The sequence below is a fragment of the Homo sapiens genome, chromosome 13, assembly GCF_000001405.40.
Source record: "Homo sapiens chromosome 13, GRCh38.p14 Primary Assembly".
In the NCBI taxonomy this organism is placed as follows: domain Eukaryota; kingdom Metazoa; phylum Chordata; class Mammalia; order Primates; family Hominidae; genus Homo; species Homo sapiens.
The window spans coordinates 30,634,123-30,655,500 of NC_000013.11; the positions used below are offsets into that span (position 1 = coordinate 30,634,123).

Here is a 21,378-nt window from a genome sequence, read left to right on the forward strand (position 1 = left end):
TTACTATGCTCGTGCTTTGGGGCCATTATTAAGTCAAATAAGGGTTGCTTGAACACAAGCACTGCAATACCATGGCAATAGATCGCATCACCAAGATGGCTGCTAAGTGAACCACAGGCAGGAGTGTAGACAGCATGGACACATTAGACGAAGGGAAGATTCACGTTGCCAGTGGAACACAGCAGGACAGCAAGAGAGTTCATGATGCTACTCAGAATGGCATGAAATTTAAAGCTTATAAATTGTTTCTGGAATTTTCCGCTTAATATTTTCAGACCACGGTTGAGTTCAGGTAACTGAAACCATAGGAAGCAAAACACGGATGAAGAGGGACCACTTCGTATTGCCTAATTTAGTTTGTTTTGATCTTCTGGGACCTTTTTTTCTTGTTGTAAAAATTTATGGGGCTGTTTATAGTTGTGGCTCATTGATTTTTCATTGCTACATAATACTTCCATTTTGTAAATATAACAGAATATTCATCTACCTGTCAGTGGACAGTGGGGTTTTTTTGCCATTATAAATGCTGCTGCTGTGACCATTTGGGGGGCAAGTCTCCTGGGGCACAGTATGAGTTTCCCTTCTGTATAACAAAGGAATGGAAAATTATAGACTTTCGTGTCCAAATTTACAAGATAATGACAATTGTTTTCCAAAGTGGTTGTACCAAGCAATTCTCCCATTAATAGTGTATATAAGAGGTCTTCCTGATCCATATATTCTTCTTGGTTTATTTTCACACTTTTGAGATTTTTGCTATTTGAGTGGTATAAAATGGTCTGTGATCTTGATTTGCCGTTTCCACATTTTGAAGAGGTTGTCGGCTCTATGTGTATATATTGCTCATATTTGTTCCCTCTTCTGTGAAATGCCTTTTGTATCTTATCCCTATTTGTTCTGTTCTGTTGATTGTCACGTTTTAATTGATTTGTATGAGTTTGTTCCTTGTATCATTGTTGCTAGAGTTACATCAGATGTGTTGCTGAATCTGCTCCCAGTTTGCAGCTTGTGTTTTTACTTTTTAAAAACTGTCTTGATTTATAGGGAAGTCTTTATCTTTTCATTTGGAGCTAGTAATGTTTGTGGCTTTTTAAAGAAATTATTACTATTCCCAAGGTCAGAAAATCATTCACCTATATTTTAACTGAAAAGTTATAAAGTTTTGCTTTTGACATTGAAATTTCTCATTCAGTTGGAATTCATATTGATGTGTGGTATGAGGTAAGGATCCATTTTTTTCCCATTTGCATAGCCAGTTTTTGTAGCTCCACTTTATTTTCTCACTTGATCTGCCATGCCACCTCTAGCATGTATCAACATATCATGTATGTGTGCAGCTGTTCCTTAACTCTCAATTTTATTCTCTTGGTTACTTTGTCTAACCCAGCACTCATACTTTTTAAATTATTATGGCTACCTTGTAGGGCAAGAATCCTCACTTTTATTCAACTTCTTTTGAAGTGTCTTGATGCATATTTTTTCTGATCTTACTTGGCCATATATATTTTGGGGACAGATGTGACATCATACCAAGCTTTCTTTGCTTGACATTGTAGATATTTTCTTATTCATTAATGTGCTAAAAATTTTGAGTTTGGTCATACAGTCTTTTATATGGATCTTATACATCGTTTCCCTCTTGTTAACCATTCAGGCTGTTACTAGTTTTTGCTGTTGTGAATTAACACCAGGACAAATATCCATATATCTTTTGAATTAATTACTGACTAGTTTCCTAGGAAAGATATTAGAATATGAATATTAAAGGTCTTGCTGAATACAGTTTTCAGAATGGTTGTACCAATATATAATTCCATTTTCATTATGTAGAAAAAATACCTCAGTGTTTTCTAACCACCTTTGGTTAGAACATTCAAGACGTTATGGTTTTGTTAGGTAAGAAATATTTTGTTTCAGTGTAGGTTTTCTTTGAGACTGAACTTTTTTGTGTGTGTCAGTCATTTACAGTTTTTTGCAATTTTTAAAATTCAGTTTCTCACAAGCATTTTGCCTTTGACTTTTCTTCTATTTCTGCTTTCTCTAATTACAGAAACCCCAGTGTTAAGTAGGTGACAGTTCAGTTGTTTGCTGCAGAAGAGCAGCAGTTCAATATTGGAATTAACTTTAATTTTATGTTTTTAATCTGTTACTAATTTTTTACAGAATAATTGTAGTTTTTATAATCTGGTTAATTATATGTTTGAGCTGCATTACTTTGCAATGTAAGTTTTTTTTTTTGGCATGGTCAAATAACAAAAATTCTGGTTAATGCTTATTTCATATTACAGGAGAATCCAGATATTTCATTAGGGAAACATATAAGCAGAGTGTGATCAGGCTGTATGAATTATTTATAAGAGATGTGAGTGAAAAGATCTATTTGTAGCTTAAGAGTAAGTAGAGTCAGATGCATGTAGAGTCTTTTATTCAAAATAATTTTCTTATTAATCTTGGATAGTTTCTTGTCACAGTAATTCCATTTTGAAGATAATAAATATTACCATAAAGAAGTGATCAAAAACATAGATATGTGTGCCCAAAGGTATTTATCACAATAGTATTTATAATAGTGAAAAAAGAAACAACTAAAATGTCTGGCAATAGGAGAATGATTAATAAAGCGATGTTTCAGCTGAATATAGTGGCATGCGCCTGTAAGCCCAGCTACTCAGGAGGTTGAGGCTGCAAGATGGCTTGAGCCCAGGAGTTAATGACCAGCCCAGGCAACATAGCAAGACCCTGTCTCCAAACACACAAACACACACACAAGTGCTATGTTTCAGTCACTGTATAATAACTAGCCAGATTTTTTGTTGTTGTTGTTTTGTTTTTGTTTTTGTTTTTTGAGAGAGCATCTCACTTGCCCAGGCTGGAGTGCAGTAGTACAATCACAGCTCACTGCAGCTTGTAGAACCCTAACCCTCCTGGGCTCAAATGATCCTCCCACCTCAGCCTCCTGAGTAGCTGGGACTACGGGTGGGTACCACCATACCCAGCTTTTTTTCTAAGAGATAGGGGTTTCACTATGTTGCCCAGGCTGGTCAGTTTTTAATGAAGCACATTTGTGTAGACAAAGCAGGATGTGGAACCGGATAAACACTATGTTGCCACTGAAGACCCCTTCAAACCCCTCAAAAATGACATAGAAGGGAAATATGAGATATTAGTTTGGGAAATAATTGTAACTTTATTAAGACTCCTTATAAATTTATCTGTTCCTATGACCTGGCTAAGTTCAATAAAAGTTACACAGAGTGGAATAAATGGTTAGACATCATTTGTAGTATAAGTAATTGCACATAAGGAGGTAACTTTAGCTGTTTTAGAGATAGACATAGTATCTGAAAGGTTAGTTATTTTACTAGACCTGTGATTATTTGGGTGAGAAAGGCTTTCACTGAGATTTTACCCATTCAGTAAGTACTAATGATATTGTGCTGATAGCATATATTAAGGGAATATATGGTATACCACAGAGAAAGAATTAAGGAAATTTTGTGTTTTGCTTTTTGTCTGTTTGCAAAACTTACTGACTCAGCTTTCATTCTTGGGAATGTGTCAGTTTTCTGTGGGAAGATATACATTGATGAGGAATTGATAATGTTCTCTGTATTTTCTTAGATGGAGATTGTAAAAAACTTACCTCAGAAATATTTGCAGAGATAGAGACCTGTCTGAATGAAGTTAGAGATGAAATTTTTATTAGCCTTCAGCCCCAGCTTAGATGCACATTAGGTAAGTAATTGGTAAAACTTACTTGTATTATACTCATCTACCATATAGAAATATGTACCTCATAAGGAAATATAATACTGTTTGATTACCTTGGATGATCATATTCTTGGGAGAGAGAATCTGAGTAGTTTGACTTAGGAATCTACCACTGGGTAAGTTATTGTAGGGCAGAGCTGTTCCATATAAATATGTAGGCTGGTGTTCCACCTCTTGAGAGTGGGTGCAGTTCTCAGAACCAGGAGAATTTTAGGGGGCATATCATTAGTTGCTTCTCTAGTACGTTTCCTAGTAGACAGATCTAGCATTTTTAACCTCAATTGTGCATTAAAAAGCACCGAGGGAATTTAAAAGTAAATGCCAATGCTGGGGCATTTGAATTAGGATCTCAGGGATGGGGCTCAGGAAATCAGTAATTTTTAGAAACCCCACATGATTGTTATATGTACCCAGGGTTTAGAATCTCATCTAAACCAACCATAGTAATTCTACTTCCCTACCAGTGATTGGTTTAGGAATGTCCTTGTGGTAGAGTTTTGGCCAGTGGATATTAAGAGAAATATGCTGATGGCCTTTTGGGAAAGCTTCCTCGCCTTTAGAAAGGGCACAAGGATGGGACCTCTTTGTTCTCTGTGACTTGGTTTTTGGCCTGTGGGAGTGGCGTGCAGCAAGTGAGCTAGAGAGTCTGTCCAAACCTTTCTAAATTTTTTTAGTATTGCGAAAAGGAGCTGCGGGGTTTTTTTGTTTGTTTTTGTTTTGAAAGGGCTTTTTGTTTTATTTTTCTTGTATCCTTGTATTAACTCTTCTATTAATGTTATAGTAGCAGAATATGATACTCCCTATTAGTAATAACCCATATTATGTAAAATATCAGTGCCTTCTAGTTTTTCTCTCAATGAGTGACATTTAACTTATATTAAAAAATGATATTTATATTTTATAATAAAATCAGTTGTTGCTACTGATTTGTCTAGCATGTACAAAAGACACCATGCTTCCAGATCATTATAAAATATGATATTTTATAATATATTTACAATATATTTATAACATATTTATATACTTAGAATATATTTTATAAGGCTGGGCTTGGTGGCTCATGCTTGTAATCCCAGCACTTTGGGAGGCCAAGGCAGGCGTATCACAAGGTCAAGAGATTGAGACCATCCTGGCCAACATGGTGAAACCCTGTCTCTACTAAAAATACAAAAATTAGCCGGGCGTGGTAGTGTGTGCCTGTAGTTCCAGCTACTCGGGAGGCTGAGGCAGGAGAATCGCTTGAACTTGGGAGACAGAGGTTGCAGTGAGCTGAGATCACGCCATTGCATTCCAGCCTGGGGACAGAGCGAGACTCCGTCTCAAAAAATGTATATATATATATATATATATATGTGTGTATGTGTGTGTATGTGCGTGTGTATATATATATATCGGGAAGCATGGCATCTTTTGTACATGCTGGACAGCTTTTGACGTACTTCTTTGACTCATGCTTCTGCCCCCTAATTTTCACTTTTTTTCCTACATTTTATTAAAATTAATATATAATAGTTGTATATCTGCTTTATTTTTCATGGACTTATACATACATATTTATTCTGTTCTTATAAAAGTCTGATTTTTCGTATGCCAAATTTCTGACATTTCCTCCTCTAGGCCTGAAGAACTGTTGTAATTTATGCATCAGATAGGCCCTCAGATGGAATGAATATTCTTTTTTCTTTATATCAAGGTGTAATTTACATATAGTAAGACCGTTTTTAAGTGTGTACAGCTCTGTAACCCTCACTACAATCAAGATATAGGACTCTGTCACTCTAAAACTTCTCACCAGGTTCATCACCCCCAGCCACTGATCTGTTGAGCGAATACTCATTTCAAAGGAGCTTTTTCCGTAAGATCCCTAGAGTTTAGATGGAAGGGCTTTCGTGGTGCATTTAGCAGATACCATTTCCCTTCTAGACTCCCTACTTCAGTTCCCAGTTGAATTAAAGAATGGTTTCTCCCCCAGCCTGAGTCACTACCCTTCTTATCCCTGATAATTATTTTTGGAACAAAGTTACATCTTTTGCTCCACCTCCGCCATGGGCCTGGTTTTCTATGTAACAGAAGGAATTTTTAAATTATTGTTTTGTGTAATCATAATAATTGGGCAAGCATACAGCTCTTTTCAGTGCAGGAGGATTCCTCTCTTGTTTTACTGCCCATTCAAGGATAGGTGCTATATTTTAGCTGAAGATCTTACTAATGAAATGCTCTGTAATCATATAACTTATTTAAAGATGTGTTTTGAGCTCTTTCATAATATTTTAATTCATGGAGAACTTTATGTATTTTAGACCTGAAGATTTTATATTGTCATTATGAAATGTAAATTGTTTGCTTTTTCAGTTAATATATAGTTACAATAGAATACGGATTTAAAGGCTGATAATGAATTACAAAATTGTGCTATATGACATACTGTTTATGCATACAGTGTTGCATATTTTCATTTCTAGGATATTGATTTGTATTTCTACTTACAAAAAAACTTTTTAAAACTTATTTTATGGCTGGGCCCGGTGGCTCACACCTGTAATCCCAGCACTTTGGGAGGCCGAGGCGGGTGGATCACCTGAGGTCAGGAGTTCAAGATCAGCCTGGCCAACATGGTGAAACCCTGTCTCTACTAAAAATACAAAAAATTAGCCGGACGTGGTGTAGGTGCCTGTAATCCCAGCTACTCGGGAGGCTGAGGCAGGAAAATTGCTTGAAACCAGGAGGCAGTGGTTGCAGCGAGCAGAGATTGCGCCATTGCACTCCAACCTGAGCAACAAGTGCGAAACTCCTTCTCAAAAAGAAACAAAAAAACTTTTTTTAATGTTTTTGTTCAAAAGTAGCAGTGAGACTATCCCGCAAAGGTGACTACTAAAATAGCCTTTGTAACTACTGATATTTATAGAATATGCTTAGGGTTAGGGTATAACTCGCTTGTATTATACTCATCTACCATGTAGAAATATGTACATCATAAGGAAATATAATACTGTTTGATTACCTTGGATGATCATATTCTTGGGAGAGAGAATCTGAGTAGTTTGACTTAGGAATCTACCACTGGGTAAGTTATTGTAGGGCAGAGCTGTTCCATATAAATATGTAGGCTGGTGTTCCACCTCTTGAGAGTGGGTGCAGTTCTCAGAACCGGGAGAATATTTAGGGGACATATTGTTAGTTGCTTCTCTAGTACTTTTCCCAGTAGACAGATCTAGCATTTTTAACCTCAATTGTGCATTAAAAAGCACCGAGGGAATTTAAAAGTAAATACCAATCATAGGGACATTTGAATTAGGATCTCAGGGAAGGGGCTCAGGAAATCAGTAATTTTTAGAAACCCCACATGATTGTTATTGCTTAGGTAATAACACCTACTGTCTACCTTGTGGTCCTGCCAAGGTGACTGTTCCTGGCCATGTTCCAGGCAACTGTAGTTCCAGGCTAGGGGGAGAACTGGACCATGGAAGTGAGGCTCTGTCCAGGGTAGGGGAAGGGATGGAAGGTGACTGTTCCTGGCCATGTTCCAGGCAACTGTAGTTCCAGGCTAGGGGGAGAACTGGACCATGGAAGTGAGGCTCTGTGCAGGGTAGGGGAAGGGATGGAAGGACTCAGTCTCTTGGGCCAAATCGGTAAGGCAGCATCTAAGCTCCTCTGAGAATAGGAAGGAGAGCAACCAATTGGAAAAAGAATGGGAAACATGTAGATTCTCCTGCTTACCTTACTTTCCAGTCTCAAAGCTGGAAGCCAGCATTCACTGTTCAGTTATTTTCAATGACAACAAGATTCAAATCTTCAGTTGTAAAGTTGTTAAAGGAAAGGATTAGACTGAAAAGTTAAGAAGAACGGTAGATGAAGAGTCCAAAGAGTTGAGGCTGGTCATTTAACCATTGTGTGGCCACGCCCTCTCCACAGGTGGAACAAGATGATCAGAATAGAAATGGCCAATTCTGATGTGTTTCTACAGTGTTTCACTGATTACATTTTTTAACATCTGTAGCAAACCATTTCCATAATTTTTTTTTTTTTTTTTAGAGACGAGGTCTCGCTCTGTCACCCAGGCTGGTATGCAGCGGCATGATCATAGCTCACTGCAGCCTCAAATTCCTGGGCTCAAATGAGCCTCCTGCCTTAGCCTCCTAAGTAGCTTGGACTACAGGTGTGTAGCACCACTCTCAGCTAATTTATTTCATTTTATTTTTTGTAGAGATAATGCCTCGCTATATTGGCCAGGATGGTCTCAAACGTTCATAGAAACTGGTTTTAGGTTCCTAGAGGCTGGCAGCAATTCTCAGAGGTAACGCAAGCAGTCTTCCTGCCTTGGCCTCCCAGTGTGCTGGGATTACAAGGTGTGAGCCACCACACCTCATCAATTTTTGTTTTAATATACTCTAAGGCTTATCATAGTTCCGAGATCTTTTTTTTTTTCCTGAGAAATCTAGAAAGATGGAAGACAGTATGGGTCTTTTGTGGATTTTTTGTCCTAAGAAATTTTCATAAATGTCTGCCAAGGAAAAGGAAAGAGATCAAAGTGGTAATTAAATCTTTAGGATGGACATTTTTAGAAAAATGCTTTATAAACTTCCCCTCTCCCAACTCTGAGTGACTTATTGTGTCATACTGTATTAACACATATTCATGCTGTAAATATAGTAAGAAAAGACAATAGTTCACAATTTTGGTTTAGTTTTTGCCATTATTGATTATGAGCAGTAATTCTTCCTTTTCTTTTTGAAGGTGATATGGAAAGCCCTGTGTTTGCATTTCCCCTGCTCTTAAAACTAGAAACCCACATTGAAAAGCTCTTCCTATATTCTTTTTCTTGGGACTTTGAATGTTCGCAGTGTGGACACCAATATCAAAACAGGTTAGTTTCTTTTGTTTTTTAAAATGGGTTCTTCTAGTTTCTCCACCACTAAGGTTAAGAGAACAATTTGAGCACCAGACACTACAGTTTGCTTGCTTCTTTAAACTGGAAGGGTCAAAACCTCATCGTTTGATAGACTGCTAGTAGGATATTTCCTAAGGAGTTCTTCAGTGGGAAATAGGGACGATGAGAGGAATAATACACCTCCCTTCTCCAGAGTCCTTGCTGAGTAGAATACCTCTCAGAATGCCATGAAACTGTAGGCATTTTTGTTTATTCCTCTATTAGAAATGAGGGGTTTTGCTTGTTTACTTTAGGTTTCTAACATTATAGACACTAGTTTTAGGCTCTTGGAGGCTAGCAGCAATTCTCAGAGGTAATGCAAGCTTCCCCATTTCTTCCCGTAGTCCTGTGAAAGACCAGCCACCTCCAGAAGCCTACACATGAGTCTTCTCAGCCATACTTTCTGCTTTTCCTAATGCCTCTCAGCAGCGTATTAGAAAGGCCATGATCGATGTACCTGTTACCTTCAGGCTTTGCATAAGGTGTATATGAAACATAATGAATTTCGTGTTTAGGCTCAGGTCCCATCCCCAGGTTACCTCTTTATCTTGGAGACACTTCTGGTCCCATACATTTCAGATAAGAGATATTCAACCTGTACCCACCACGTAAGGAGAGGAATAGGTTTTAGAAGAGGAGTCAGGGAGGCAAGGTATTCCCAGAGGGATATTCTCACTTGGTCCATACCTGAGAAAGTTGCTGGCTGGCAGTTAGGAAGATGACCAGACTGGCTCAATTGTTCGTGTATTCAAATTATTACAATAGAAATAACTCTTTCCACCCCCCCCCGCCCTTTTTTTTTTTTTGAGTTGGAGTCTCGCTCCCGTCACACAGGCTGGAGTGCAGCAGCGTGATCCCGGCTCACTGCAGCCTCCACCTCCTGGGTTAAAGCGATTCTCCTTCCTCAGCTTCCTGAGTAGCTGGGATTACAGGTGTGTGCCACCACGCCCGGCTGATTTTTGTATTTTTAGTAGAGACAGGGTTTTGCCATGTTGGCCAGGCTGGTCTTGAACTCCTGACCTCAGGTGATCCAGCCACCTGAGCCTCCCACAGTGCTGGGATTACAGGTGTGAGCCACCATGCCTAGCCACACTTTTCTTTAGCTTAAGTGCTTAAGTTAGAAAACTTGAAGTCTCTCTAAGTTACTCAAGTAAAATGTGAGATAAAAATATTACTTTTGAAGGCCGGGCACAGTGGCTCACATCTGTAATCCCAGCACTTTGGTAGGCCGAGGCGGGTGGATCACGAGGTCAGGAGTTTGAGACCAGCCTGGCCAACATGGTGAAACGCTGTCTCTACTGAAAATACAAAAATTAGCCGGGCATGATGGCGGACACCTGTAGTCCCAGCTACTCGGGAGGCTGAGGCAGGAGAATAACTTGAAACCCGAAGGTGGAGGTTGCAGTGAGCTGAGATTGCACCACTGCACTCCAGCCTGGTCAACAAGAATGACACTCCGTCTCAAAAAAAATTAAAAAAAATTACTTAGATATTCATTATCTAAATATGAAATCCTTTTTAGGTATTTAAGGAGTAGTCAAGGAGAGTTCAGTCTGGGAGGATGCTCCAGGGAATGCAGGCAACAAAGGTTTTGTTTTTTTTTTAACTGGTTAACTCAGATCTACTAGAACAGGGTAAGGGAGGCCACAGAGTAGACACCATGAGCAAAGCTAACCCTCCTGAGTTGAAAAAATTATGGACGAGAAGTTATCATTGAAATTAACTGTTGGCAGACATATCCAAAGAATATCGCAAGGATTTGGTCCCTTTATGCATCCTGAGACAGATGAATGTGTGGAATGGCAGCTGGTGGGCAACAGAGCGATATTGGCATGGTGGTGATACAGGGAAATAGTTTCATCGTGTTAAAAGCCATGGAACAAAGATACATAATGGCTGCTCTGCAGAAAAATCCACGTCCCCTCTCCAAAGGGCCTGTTTTACTCTGATGTAAAAATTGGGTCAGATAAATTTTCATATTAAGCTTTTTGTTGAGTAAACTTTTGTAATAGTCCCCAAAACTCCCACTAGAACAGGGTGAGAATTAACGTTTTATTCATACCTAGGACTTAAATAATTTAGTGTAAGCAAGTGAGTATGAGAACACATCTGTTTCCAGTCTTCTATCATTGCTTTATATAAATTCTCTGGTTTTCTCCTCACAGTAACTCAGTGAGGAAGATCCTAGTGTCCTCATTTGGCACGTATGGATATGACAGCTTGAAAGGGGTTAGATTGATTCCCAAGATGACACACTGTAAGTGGCAGAGTCAGGAGACACACTTAGGCTCTTCTGGCCTCTAAGACTTTCTTGCTCACTGTGGTATACTCCTTAATCACTACCTGGGTTTTAAATAATATAAATAACCTTGCTGATTAAAATCAGCTTAATTGTAGCTTCTCTGGAATCCATATCTTAGTTGTTTGACAGTTTTCGGTTGAGTGTCTTCTGTGTGTTAGGAACTCAGGCACTGGAAATAGTGTATCTTTGCCAAATTTACTAATTAGGTAGAGAGATAATACACGAACACATAATAGAGGTCCAGTGACTTCGTAATTAATCTGATCTTTGGGCTGCTTAACGTTAGCTTTGAATGCAAGATGTTAAATGCGTTTTAGAGATATATAGCACAAACTGTGAGAGCTCAAGGGAGGGAAGCCACTAGCCGCTTTTGTTTGCTTTTTTGTTTTTTAAAAATAATCTTACTTTGTTCTAAAAATAAAAGTAGTTATAGAGGGAAAGCTAAAATGAAGTGACGTTTTCTTAAATATGTTTTAATATGTCATAACTTAAAACTTATTTCCACTTAATCTGAAGGAGAACTGTCCAGCAAATTCCTTTGTTTTTGTGAAGCTGTTTTTAGTGCCAGCATAAGGGCTTTTTACTCAACTTGGAAAGTGTAACCCAGAGTCAGTTAAAAACATAGTCTTCAGAGGCAGATCTCAGGTCTGTTATTTATCACTGTACTCTATGTGTCACTTTCCCCATCTGTAAAATGGGGATAAGAATAGCACCTGCCTCTGAGAGTTGTTTGGAAGATGAGTGTCCAGTGCCATGCCCTTTGCACATAGTTTAAGTGTTCAGAAATGTCAGATGTCATGTGGAGAATTAACACTTACTTGCTGAGACAGTCTCCTTTTTATAAACTAAACAGTAGGAGCCTTTACATAACAATTATCTTTGAAAATTTAAGAATTTAGCAGAAATCAGTGCATTTGTTGATATCTTTATGTTGCTTTGCTTTTAAAATGTTAACCTCCCTGACTACTGATGTTTTTAACAGACAGTGCTTCCTCACAAGATTTATAAGTATTTGCTATTGTTTAGAAAGGAAGCTTGTATCTCTTAAGTAGCTGCTCTTTAAATTACAAATATTTTTATTAAAGTGGATGCAGTTGAGGTTTAGTGTACATCTTTAAAGGTCATCTTTTTAGATGGCGTTGCTCTCAAGTATTCAGACTAAAGTGCAAATTTAGAACTTGTGTAACCTGTGAAAACAAAATTTGTTCACAATTAATGCTGTGTGTGTGTGTGTTTTTTTTTTAAGGATTAAAAAAAGTTAAGTTGTATGTATTCCTGATTTTATGTTTGGAAACATCCCCTTTTCATTTTTGGTTGTCTGTAATGGCTAGCCAGTTTGAGTTATTTGAGTAAGGGGTGAGCTCTTAATAAATTTGACAACCTTAGAACAGTGGTTCTTCACTAAGGGCTATTTTTTCCCCCTTGGGACATTTGGCAACATCTACAGACAACTGGATGCCGTTACTGGCATCTGGTGAGGAGAGGCCAGGGATGATGCTTAACATCCTACAGTGCACAGGACAGTGCTTCACAGCAAAGACTCTCTGGTGAAAAATGCAGTGATACCATTGAGGAACCCTGTCTTTTTTTCTTGCTTCATCTCATAGTTGAAAGATATGGGAAATTAACATGGAGCATCTTCACAGAGCTTCTTTACTAGAGGTAGGGAGGAACATTGCCATATTAACATGATTTGGGGAAATAAGAAAGTATGAATCACGAAAAAGGGGAGGAATACTTTTAGACATTGGTTTAAATTAATGTAAATGCATTTAACGTTAATGAATTTGTTATGTCATTTTTTTATAGGCATATGAAGAGTCTGGTCACCTTTACAAATGTCATCCCTGAGTGGCACCCACTTAATGCTGCCCATTTTGGTCCATGTAACAATTGCAACAGTAAATCACAAATAAGAAAAATGGTATTAGAAAAGTGAGTTAAAATTGTCTTATAATTTTTAGTACAAAATGAAGGTGGATTTACATTTTTCTTAATGTGTAGGATTGAAAATGGTGACAACAACTTACCTTTCTGAAATTTGAGTTAACATATATTTCTGGGTTGCCAGCTGCCTCGCTCTATCTGGCCAGTGAGCCCACTGTCACGGTGAAGCCACTGAAAAGCCAACTTAGGCTGACTCTCTGGCCCCACTCTCCTAGTGTCTTTCCTTCTTTTTGCCTTTTTTCTCCCTTTAAGGATATCAAGCTTCAGTTTTTCTCTCCTCTGCCAAGTGTATGGAGTTTCTAGAATTCTGGGATTTCCTTAATCAGATTTCAAGAACTAAGATGATTCAAAGATAAGCCACAGGCTCATCTCTCTGAATTTCCATCTTCTCCTAGATCTCAGCATGCTAATTCCTCATCATCTTGAAAGCTATCTAGTGGCCTTGAGCAGATATATTTTCATTGTATTTTGCCAGCTTTTCTGTTTGTCCTCAGTTGGGGAGGTTGGTCAGCATTACCTTTTCCAGTATTACCAGAGAACCATCTGTTTAAACTCACAGGTCAGTTCCATCTCAGGCCGTTTCCCTCTGTCTCATTAATGCACTCACACATGTACACAACCTCTCTACTCTTCATTTTCAGTCTAATCGTACATTAAGGAAATGTTTTGAGGTCTAATTTGATGTAATAAAGAACCGGGAACATTAACCTTTATGCCCTTGAATGTGCCAGAAACCCTTCAGAATCTTTCCTAAAGGTTTATTCTCATTGAAGTAATAAATCCTCAGTTTATCAGTGCTTACAGGCTCAAAAGGGAAAAAGGGCAGTAGTCCCCTGTTCCCTCCTCCAGGTATCTACTTTAAACCTTCAAATTAAGGTAGTATTTACTTTTACTTTTCAAATTGATGTGCCTATTCTACCGTAATGCAGTCTGTTCTCCTTTTATAGTAATTGAGACTAGGGTTCTCACACCAACACCTGGGCCCCATCTCTGTTTAGCCTTTCCCTGTCCTTTCAATGCAATTGCGTATTTGGCTAACTCAGTACTCGGTGTTTGCATTGTTATTAATATACATGTGTTATTCCCTCTTCAGCCAAGCAGTATATATAGTTAGGTTTCACTTTTACAATTCTTATTTTTCCGGGAATTGTTATTTGCCTTGTTTTCATTTGTTTTATTATGTACTGTGAGTTTTTGCCAAATACTTTAAAGACTTATTAATAAATTTTCAATACTCAGATGCTTCACAGTTTTTTACTCTGTTCCTCTCCCCTTTTTTTCCTGGAACTCTTTCCTGCCACCTTTCACTCTTTGCTGCAGTCTGCGCTGGTTCCTCTCTGGGCCTGCAGCATAGGGTGCTCTTTATTATGTACACACTTCCAGTCACTATCGTAGTTTTTAGCCCAAGGCCTCATCCCCACATTCTATCACATCTGTTGCCCATAAATATCCAGTCCTTTAGGGGTTCTCTGGGAAAAATAAGCTCTTCTTTGTCATCAACATATGCACTCCGTAGTACTCATGTCTTCACTTTGCCCGTTCTGCTGGGTAAGGTGCCACTTCTCTGTTTGCTTTCTGTCCTCTAAATATTTGACTTCTTATTTGCTTATTTTCCTTTCTTTGTCCTTTTGGACTCATATCTTTTTTGCCCCTCACTATTATTTGATAGCATTTGTGTAGGAGGGCGAAGTGGGAAGGAAGAGGAGGTGTCTGTATCTGTCTGAAGATTACAGAAGTCTGTAATCTGTCTTGGCTGCCAGGTGTCAGTTTTGAGATGTAAATGTTGATGATGAGGTGAGGAGAAGAGCAGCAGAGCATGGGGTCTGCCATCCTGCCTTGGACCATGGCCTGCTTTAGGCTGCTTGGTGTATATGATTTCATCTAGCTGTTCATACCTGCTTTTTCCTGTGCCCCAGCACTGAACATAGACTCGTACCATTGTTTTGTGTAATCTGTTAATTGGTTGCACTGCAGCATATATATTTTTTAACTATACAAATAAGTTGCTTCCCTTAAAGATTCATGCTCTGATCTGGAAATGGATTCATTAGGTAAAAGTCTTTTAATGGAAAATGTGTTTTGAGTTCCAGTGGGCCAATTTATGAGCAGAATTTATAATGTGGGCATTTCCTGTTTTCTTCAAAAGTAAATTGAACTAGTGTATGAAGTTTCACTTAAATTTTAAATGCCAAGGTCTTTATATAAGTCCTTTGTGTTTTTTTAATTTTGAAATTTGTATAACTTGATTTGTTTGTGTCTAATGGAATTTAGAAATAAATTTAATATAGTTTTTAGGGCTAACCTAAAAGTAATTGGGTTCATCATGGTGTCATATGTAATTAAAACATATAGAATCCTAAAAACTAATTAAGTTCCTTGGACACCTTATCTCACATAACCCACATCTCTAATGTCTCCCCATTGGGAAAAGAGTCCATTGATAAATCAGGTGAATTATGCCTAGCGGGCCCAAATCTGCTACTTTTCTTTAAGTTGTTTAGGAGTTACATTCAGACCATGGTGACATGGAGCACCAAGAACTTAGAATCAGATTTCATTTTACTTGACAAACTCTTGAAAGGTCACTGCCACAGTCTCTCTTGAGTGCAAGGCTATGGCTATGCTTTGTAGCACAGGGACGCGATATTTCTCTGCTATCTTTGGGTAGCAGAGGTTAACACAGCTCCCTTGTGCTTTCTTTCTCTCTTTTCTATTTTCTTTTCTTTTCCTAAGGATAGATCTTTAAATAGGAGGAGTTTAACCCCATGTTAGGTGAATTCAAATGGATCTTAGCCTGATGTCTCTTGTTCTCTTTTGGTTCCAGTTTGGTTAATTCCTTTCATCCAATTTTCCAGTGGTTGAGGGAGAACCTAACTTGCTCTCCTCGACTCTGAGCATCATCCTTCACTGACAGTTCAGGCATTGTGGGTAGGAAGAAGTCTGAGAACAAAACCTAGGGATAAAGTTTAGTAGAGATGGGGTTTCACCATGTTGGCCAGGTTGGTCTCGAACTCCCGACCTCAGGTAATCCACCTGCCTTGGCCTCCCAAAGTGAGGCTGGAAATAAGACATGCTGGAATTGTAAGTAGGACACTAGAGTCTAGGGGAATCAAAGAGGAAAATGAACAGAAAAGGGAAGGGGAAGGATATTATTTGATTGACTCCAAGATGCTACTGTTTGTAAGTTTTACCATTTTAAAAATATGCCATTAAGAAAGAAATGCTGGCCGGGCATGGTGGCTTATGCCTGTAGTCCCAGCACTTTGGGAGGCTGAAGCGGACAGATCACCTGAGACTAGGAATTTGAGACCATCCTGGCCAACGTGGTGAAACCGCATCTCTACTAAAAATACAAAAATCAGCTGGATATGGTGGCACATGCCTATTGTCCCAGCTACTCAGGAGGCTGAGACATTAGTACTGCTTGAACTGGGGAGGCAAAGGTTTCAGTGAGCAGAGATTGTGCCACTGCACTCCAGCCTGGGCAACAGAGTGAGACTGTCTCAAAAAAAAAAAAAAAAAGAAAGAAATGCTGCTTATTTAACTGTGTTCTGTCAATGTTAAGGTGTATCCCGACTTCAGAGATGTTAACAAATGGGAAAAAATTTGGAATTCATTAGGCATTTGGAACTTACAAAGTTTCGGCCGGGCATAGTGGCTCATGCCTGTAATCACTTTGGGAGGCCAAGGCGGGTGGATTACCTAAGGTCAGGAGTTCGAGACCAATCTGGCCAACATGGTGAAACCCCATCTCTACTAAAAATACAAAAATTAGCTGGGTGTGGTGGCATGCGCCTGTAGTCCCAGCTACTCAGGAGGCTAAGGCAGGAGAATCGCTTGAACCCAGGGGGCGGAGGTTGCAGAGAGCTGAGATCGTGCCCTGCACTCCAACTTGGACAACAGAGTGAGACGCCATCTCAAAAACAAACAAACCAAAAAAAAAAAAAAAATTTCATAGTTACAGAAAGTAGTATGGAGGCCATACCGAGATTTTCGACATGGTAGTAAAACTCTGCATTATGGCTCTGTTCTGCATCATCTCTGTTCTGCATCGTTTCACTCCACATCAGACCCTGGATAGCTTTGGTGTACTGGTCGATCTTGTGGCAGTAAGGCTAGTGTAATTAAGAGGATATTTTAAAACTTAACATATAATTGCTCTAGTTGTTGTCTCTTTTTTGCTGGTTAAGAAAATCAAATTTCTATCCTATCTGAATCTCATAGCAGACTTTGGAGATTTCTGACAAGTCATTTCTTACTACCTAGGGGAATGTACTTGTACTCAGCTAGAGTCTGAGTATCTTCTACATCCAGGGAATTGGGCTGAGTGTGGATTTTGGTCTTGGCAGTTTTTACTTTTATTAATTTGCAAAAGAATAGAAGACTTGGAATGTACAAGAAGCATAAAAATGTGTCAGGTGGTTTTACATGCGTTATTTATCACGTTAATATGTCTTAAGATATTTTCCACGTGTAAACTTATGTAAAGGCAGGAAACTAGTGAGATTTCATATTCTAGGGATCAAGAGATTGTTTTAGTAACTAGCCTCAGAAAGTATCTTGAAAGGTATTATATAAGGTCAAGGAACTAAATATTAGTAAAGAGTCAGGCCAGGCGTGGTGGCTTATGCCTGTAATCCCAGCACTTTGGGAGGCCAAGGCAGGCAGATCACTTGAAGTCAGCAGTTCGAGACCAGCCTGGCCAACATGGTGAAACCCTGTCTTTACTAAAAATAGTAGTGTGTGGTATGGTGGCGCATGCCTGTAATCCAGCTCCTCAGGAGGCTGTGGTGGGAGAATCACTTGAGCCCAGGAGGCGGAGATTGCAGTAAGCTGAGATTGCACCACTGCACTCCAACCTGGGTGACAGAGCTAGTGTCTGTCTCAAAAAAAGAAAAAAAAAAAGGTCAGATAGGTGCCTAAAGCCTGTGTGTCTCGCTATGAGAATACATCTCAAGTTTTACTGTGGTTCATTGATTCAGACATGTAGTTCACATTTTAACCTGTCTGAAATGGTAATATGTGAAATTGATGTCATGATATAGTTTAATTGGCAGCATGTTTTCATAGTGGTACATTTTATAATTAGTGAAATCTTAGATTTGATGAAATAGATATGATTTTTTAAAGTGGGAAAGTTTAGTGTTATAGACAGTTTGCAGGACTTTTTATTTTGTAGGTACTTAAATTTTGAGGACTTAATTATTCTCTAATAAAGTGATTGACAAGGATTAATGTATAAATTATACCTTGTCAGTCTGAACAATCTGCAGTTTGGACATTGATTCAAATTCATTTAGGCTGAATAAATTTTGATAAACTAAGTAAGTTTTGACAGCTATTTAAATATTGGGAAAGGGGATATTCAACATTTTTCTTACATCCTGAGAGCTTTGTTAAATTTAGTTATTTGAGACCCATTGGGTTCTATTTTCTGGTTCAGCATGTTGCTGTAATGGTAAAATACAATTTTGAAATTATAGTTGTCTTGAAGTTAATAATAAATTGACCAATATGTTGTATTTTTTTCTCTACTTAGTTACAAATTGAACTTTTCCTAAGTAGAACTTTTAATTTGACAGGCCCCCTTTGCTTCCTGAGGTAACTGAAATAGGCCAAATTAATGCTTTTTTGAATATCTTAGGTTTGTTGCTTTCTTTCACATGTTACCTACCCCACTTAACAAAAGCAATTAATCTCAGCACTTGATGCCAAAGAAAATTCTAAAAGGTCTGGATTTTTTCCTTGGATTTTACAAAGTAGCTACAATGGGACTTTTAAGACAAAGCTGCATTGCTGCTTACAGAGCAATTTTTGTTTAATGGTCTGTGTTAGAGTCATACTGCATGATGACTTCCAACTGTCTGGGATACCATTCTGAAAAGGGTTTAGTGTTACATACTTCTTAGAGAGAGTTCTCCATTTCTAATTAAGGCACACATCTGGAGGTGCTCAAGAAAAATTAGTGCAGTTAGCCTTGGAAGTGTTATGTGTGACTAGTTCACTTCAGACATCTTTTGTATAATCAGACACATGGCATTAAATTTATTTAACTTCTCTTGCTTTTCTCTCCCACAGAGTATCTCCCATATTCATGTTGCACTTTGTAGAAGGCTTACCACAGAATGACTTGCAGCACTATGCATTTCATTTTGAAGGCTGTCTTTATCAGATAACTTCTGTAATTCAGTATCGAGCAAATAATCATTTTATAACATGGATTTTAGATGCTGATGGTAAGTGTTTAGAGGTTTTCTTTTAAGATAATTGGCATAGAAACTAAATTCTAGCATGTGGGGACTTTTTGGTTTTTGTTTTATAAAAAAAGACAAACTTTGTCCTGACTCTTTCTCTCTCCATTCTCGCCTTTGCCTTCTGCCCCTCCTCGCATCTATTAAAAGTGATGGTTTTAGTATCCTGTCTCATTTTTTCCTTTCCTTACATCATGTATTATAGGTAAACACATGCGCATGTGTGTATTTCTCTTTTAGACAAAGGATGAGATTACTACTGTTAGCTCAGTTTTTTTTTCCCTACTTAACATCTTTGCTTTTATTTTTTAGACATATTTCTAAGACTATTAAACATTAGACTTACGTAGCCCTTCTGTCATTGTGAAATACATAGTTTACTAACAGCTACCATCAAGATAAAGCCTTTATTTAAATAATTAAACTTCTTAGTGGAAAGCTAAGTAAGCACAGTTTATGGATTTTGGGAATTTTTGCCTTGCATTTGTCTGATATGGTAAAATATTGAGTTTGTTTTTCTCATAATGTTCACTTTGTCTTAGACAAGATAACTCAATCCCCTTAAAGGGTTGTATCAAGCCATTGATAAGGGCTCACTTTGATATAACCATTTTCTGTTATTTAGACACTCTTTCACACTTCCTATTTTCCTCCTGGGGATGGTTTGAATGGATGACACAATACCATATTATAAAAGCACTTTACAAACTGTAACTTATGTTATAAATGTAATTATTACCTTAAGGTTTTACCCTGTTTCAGATTTGAGTGGAAGTAGTTCTTTACAATACAAAACAACTTATTTTAACTTTTTTTGCATTTCAAAGAATGATCAATCCACTTCAGGTGCAGCATGGTTTCCAACCCTGACAGCATGGAAGAATCATTTATTTAGCTTCTAAAAATGTGCAGGCTGTACCCTAGACCAGCCTTGGGGATTAGGCCCAAATATCAATGTTGGGTGTTTTTGGTATTGGTTTTTGGCCCGCCTACCCGCCCTTCCTTCCTTCGTTCCTCTCTCTCATTCTCTCTCTCTCTCTCTTTCTCTCTCTCCTTCTTTGCTCCTTCATTCCTTCTCTCTCTCTCTTTTTTTTTTGAGACAGCATCTCACTATATTGCCCAGGCTGTTCTCAAACTCCTGGGCTCAAGTGATCCTCCTGCCTCAGCTTCCTGAGTAGCTAGGACTACAGGCACATGCTATGGCAATACTGTTTTAAACATTGTTTTCAAGGCTCCCCAGGTGATTCCAGTGTGGGTCATGTGGTAGAGAACCACTGACACAGGCAAACAAAGGATACATAAAGTTGTCTATTTAATGGGTAGGTGCAGGTAGTAGATAAGAGTGTAGCCACATAAACCACATGCTTAGTGAACGGTTTTGTTTTGTGTGTATGTGAGGGATTAGCATCTCTGAGTATATTTTGTTTTCCCTTTTGAAACTTATCAGAGAATTCATATGTCTGTTATGTGACTAATGCTCACATTAAAAAAAGTTATGTGACTTTTTTTAATTCATATGTCTTTTTAATTCATTTATTCATTCATATGTCTGTTATGTGACTAATGCTCTCATAAAAAAAGTAATGCTCAGTTTACTTTTTTTATATCAGATCATATATATATGTTTTTTTTTTTGAGATGGAGTTTTGCTCTTGTTGCCCAGGCTGGAGTGTATTGGCGCAGTCTTGTCTCACCACCACGTCTGCCTCCCGGGTTCAAGTGATTCTCCTGCCTCATCCTCCTGAGTAGCCGGAATACACGCAGGCGCTACCATGCCCGGCTAATTTTGTATTTTTAGTAGAGACAGGGTTTCTCCATGTTGGTCAGGTTGGTCTTGAACTCCCAACCTCAGGTGACCCACCCGCCTCGGCCTCCCGAAGTGCTGGGATTACAGGCATGAGCCACCGCACCCGGCCATATCTTATATTTTAATAAATATTTTAATTTGGTCTGTAAATTTTTCTTTTTGGGGAATGTGTTTTAAGTCTGTGTTGAGTCCTAGACATTTGTTGTTCTCAGATAGTCACTAGTGATACCTTAACATTAACCAGCCTGTTGGCAACTAAATTGGCCTGAAGTGACAACTAAGGAAAGGTCTCTTTCTCCTTTCTTAATCTTTGCATTCCTTAAGATTAGTTCTTTGTAGGAAGGCTTTGAAGTCTGGTGGCAAGTACCCTTTA

The 21,378-nt window shown here is 38.4% G+C and overlaps 1 protein-coding gene across 13 annotated transcripts in view; it reads left to right on the forward strand.

The window, feature by feature from the left end:
- The window catches only part of USPL1 (ubiquitin specific peptidase like 1), a 42,847-nt gene that overhangs the window by 16,203 nt on the left and 5,266 nt on the right, over positions 1-21,378 (forward strand). For 9 of the 13 annotated variants that reach the window (XM_047430027.1, XM_047430028.1, XM_047430031.1 and 6 more), the window contains 4 exons: positions 3,622-3,735; positions 8,506-8,635; positions 12,810-12,935; positions 19,026-19,183. In XM_047430027.1, the coding sequence (XP_047285983.1) occupies positions 3,622-3,735; positions 8,506-8,635; positions 12,810-12,935; positions 19,026-19,183 (528 nt within the window). Of the gene's footprint in view, positions 1-92; positions 293-3,621; positions 3,736-8,505; positions 8,636-12,809; positions 12,936-19,025; positions 19,184-21,378 lie in introns of those variants that run through there. The other 4 variants (XM_017020314.3, XM_017020315.2, NM_001321534.2 and 1 more) reach the window with 3 other exon arrangements.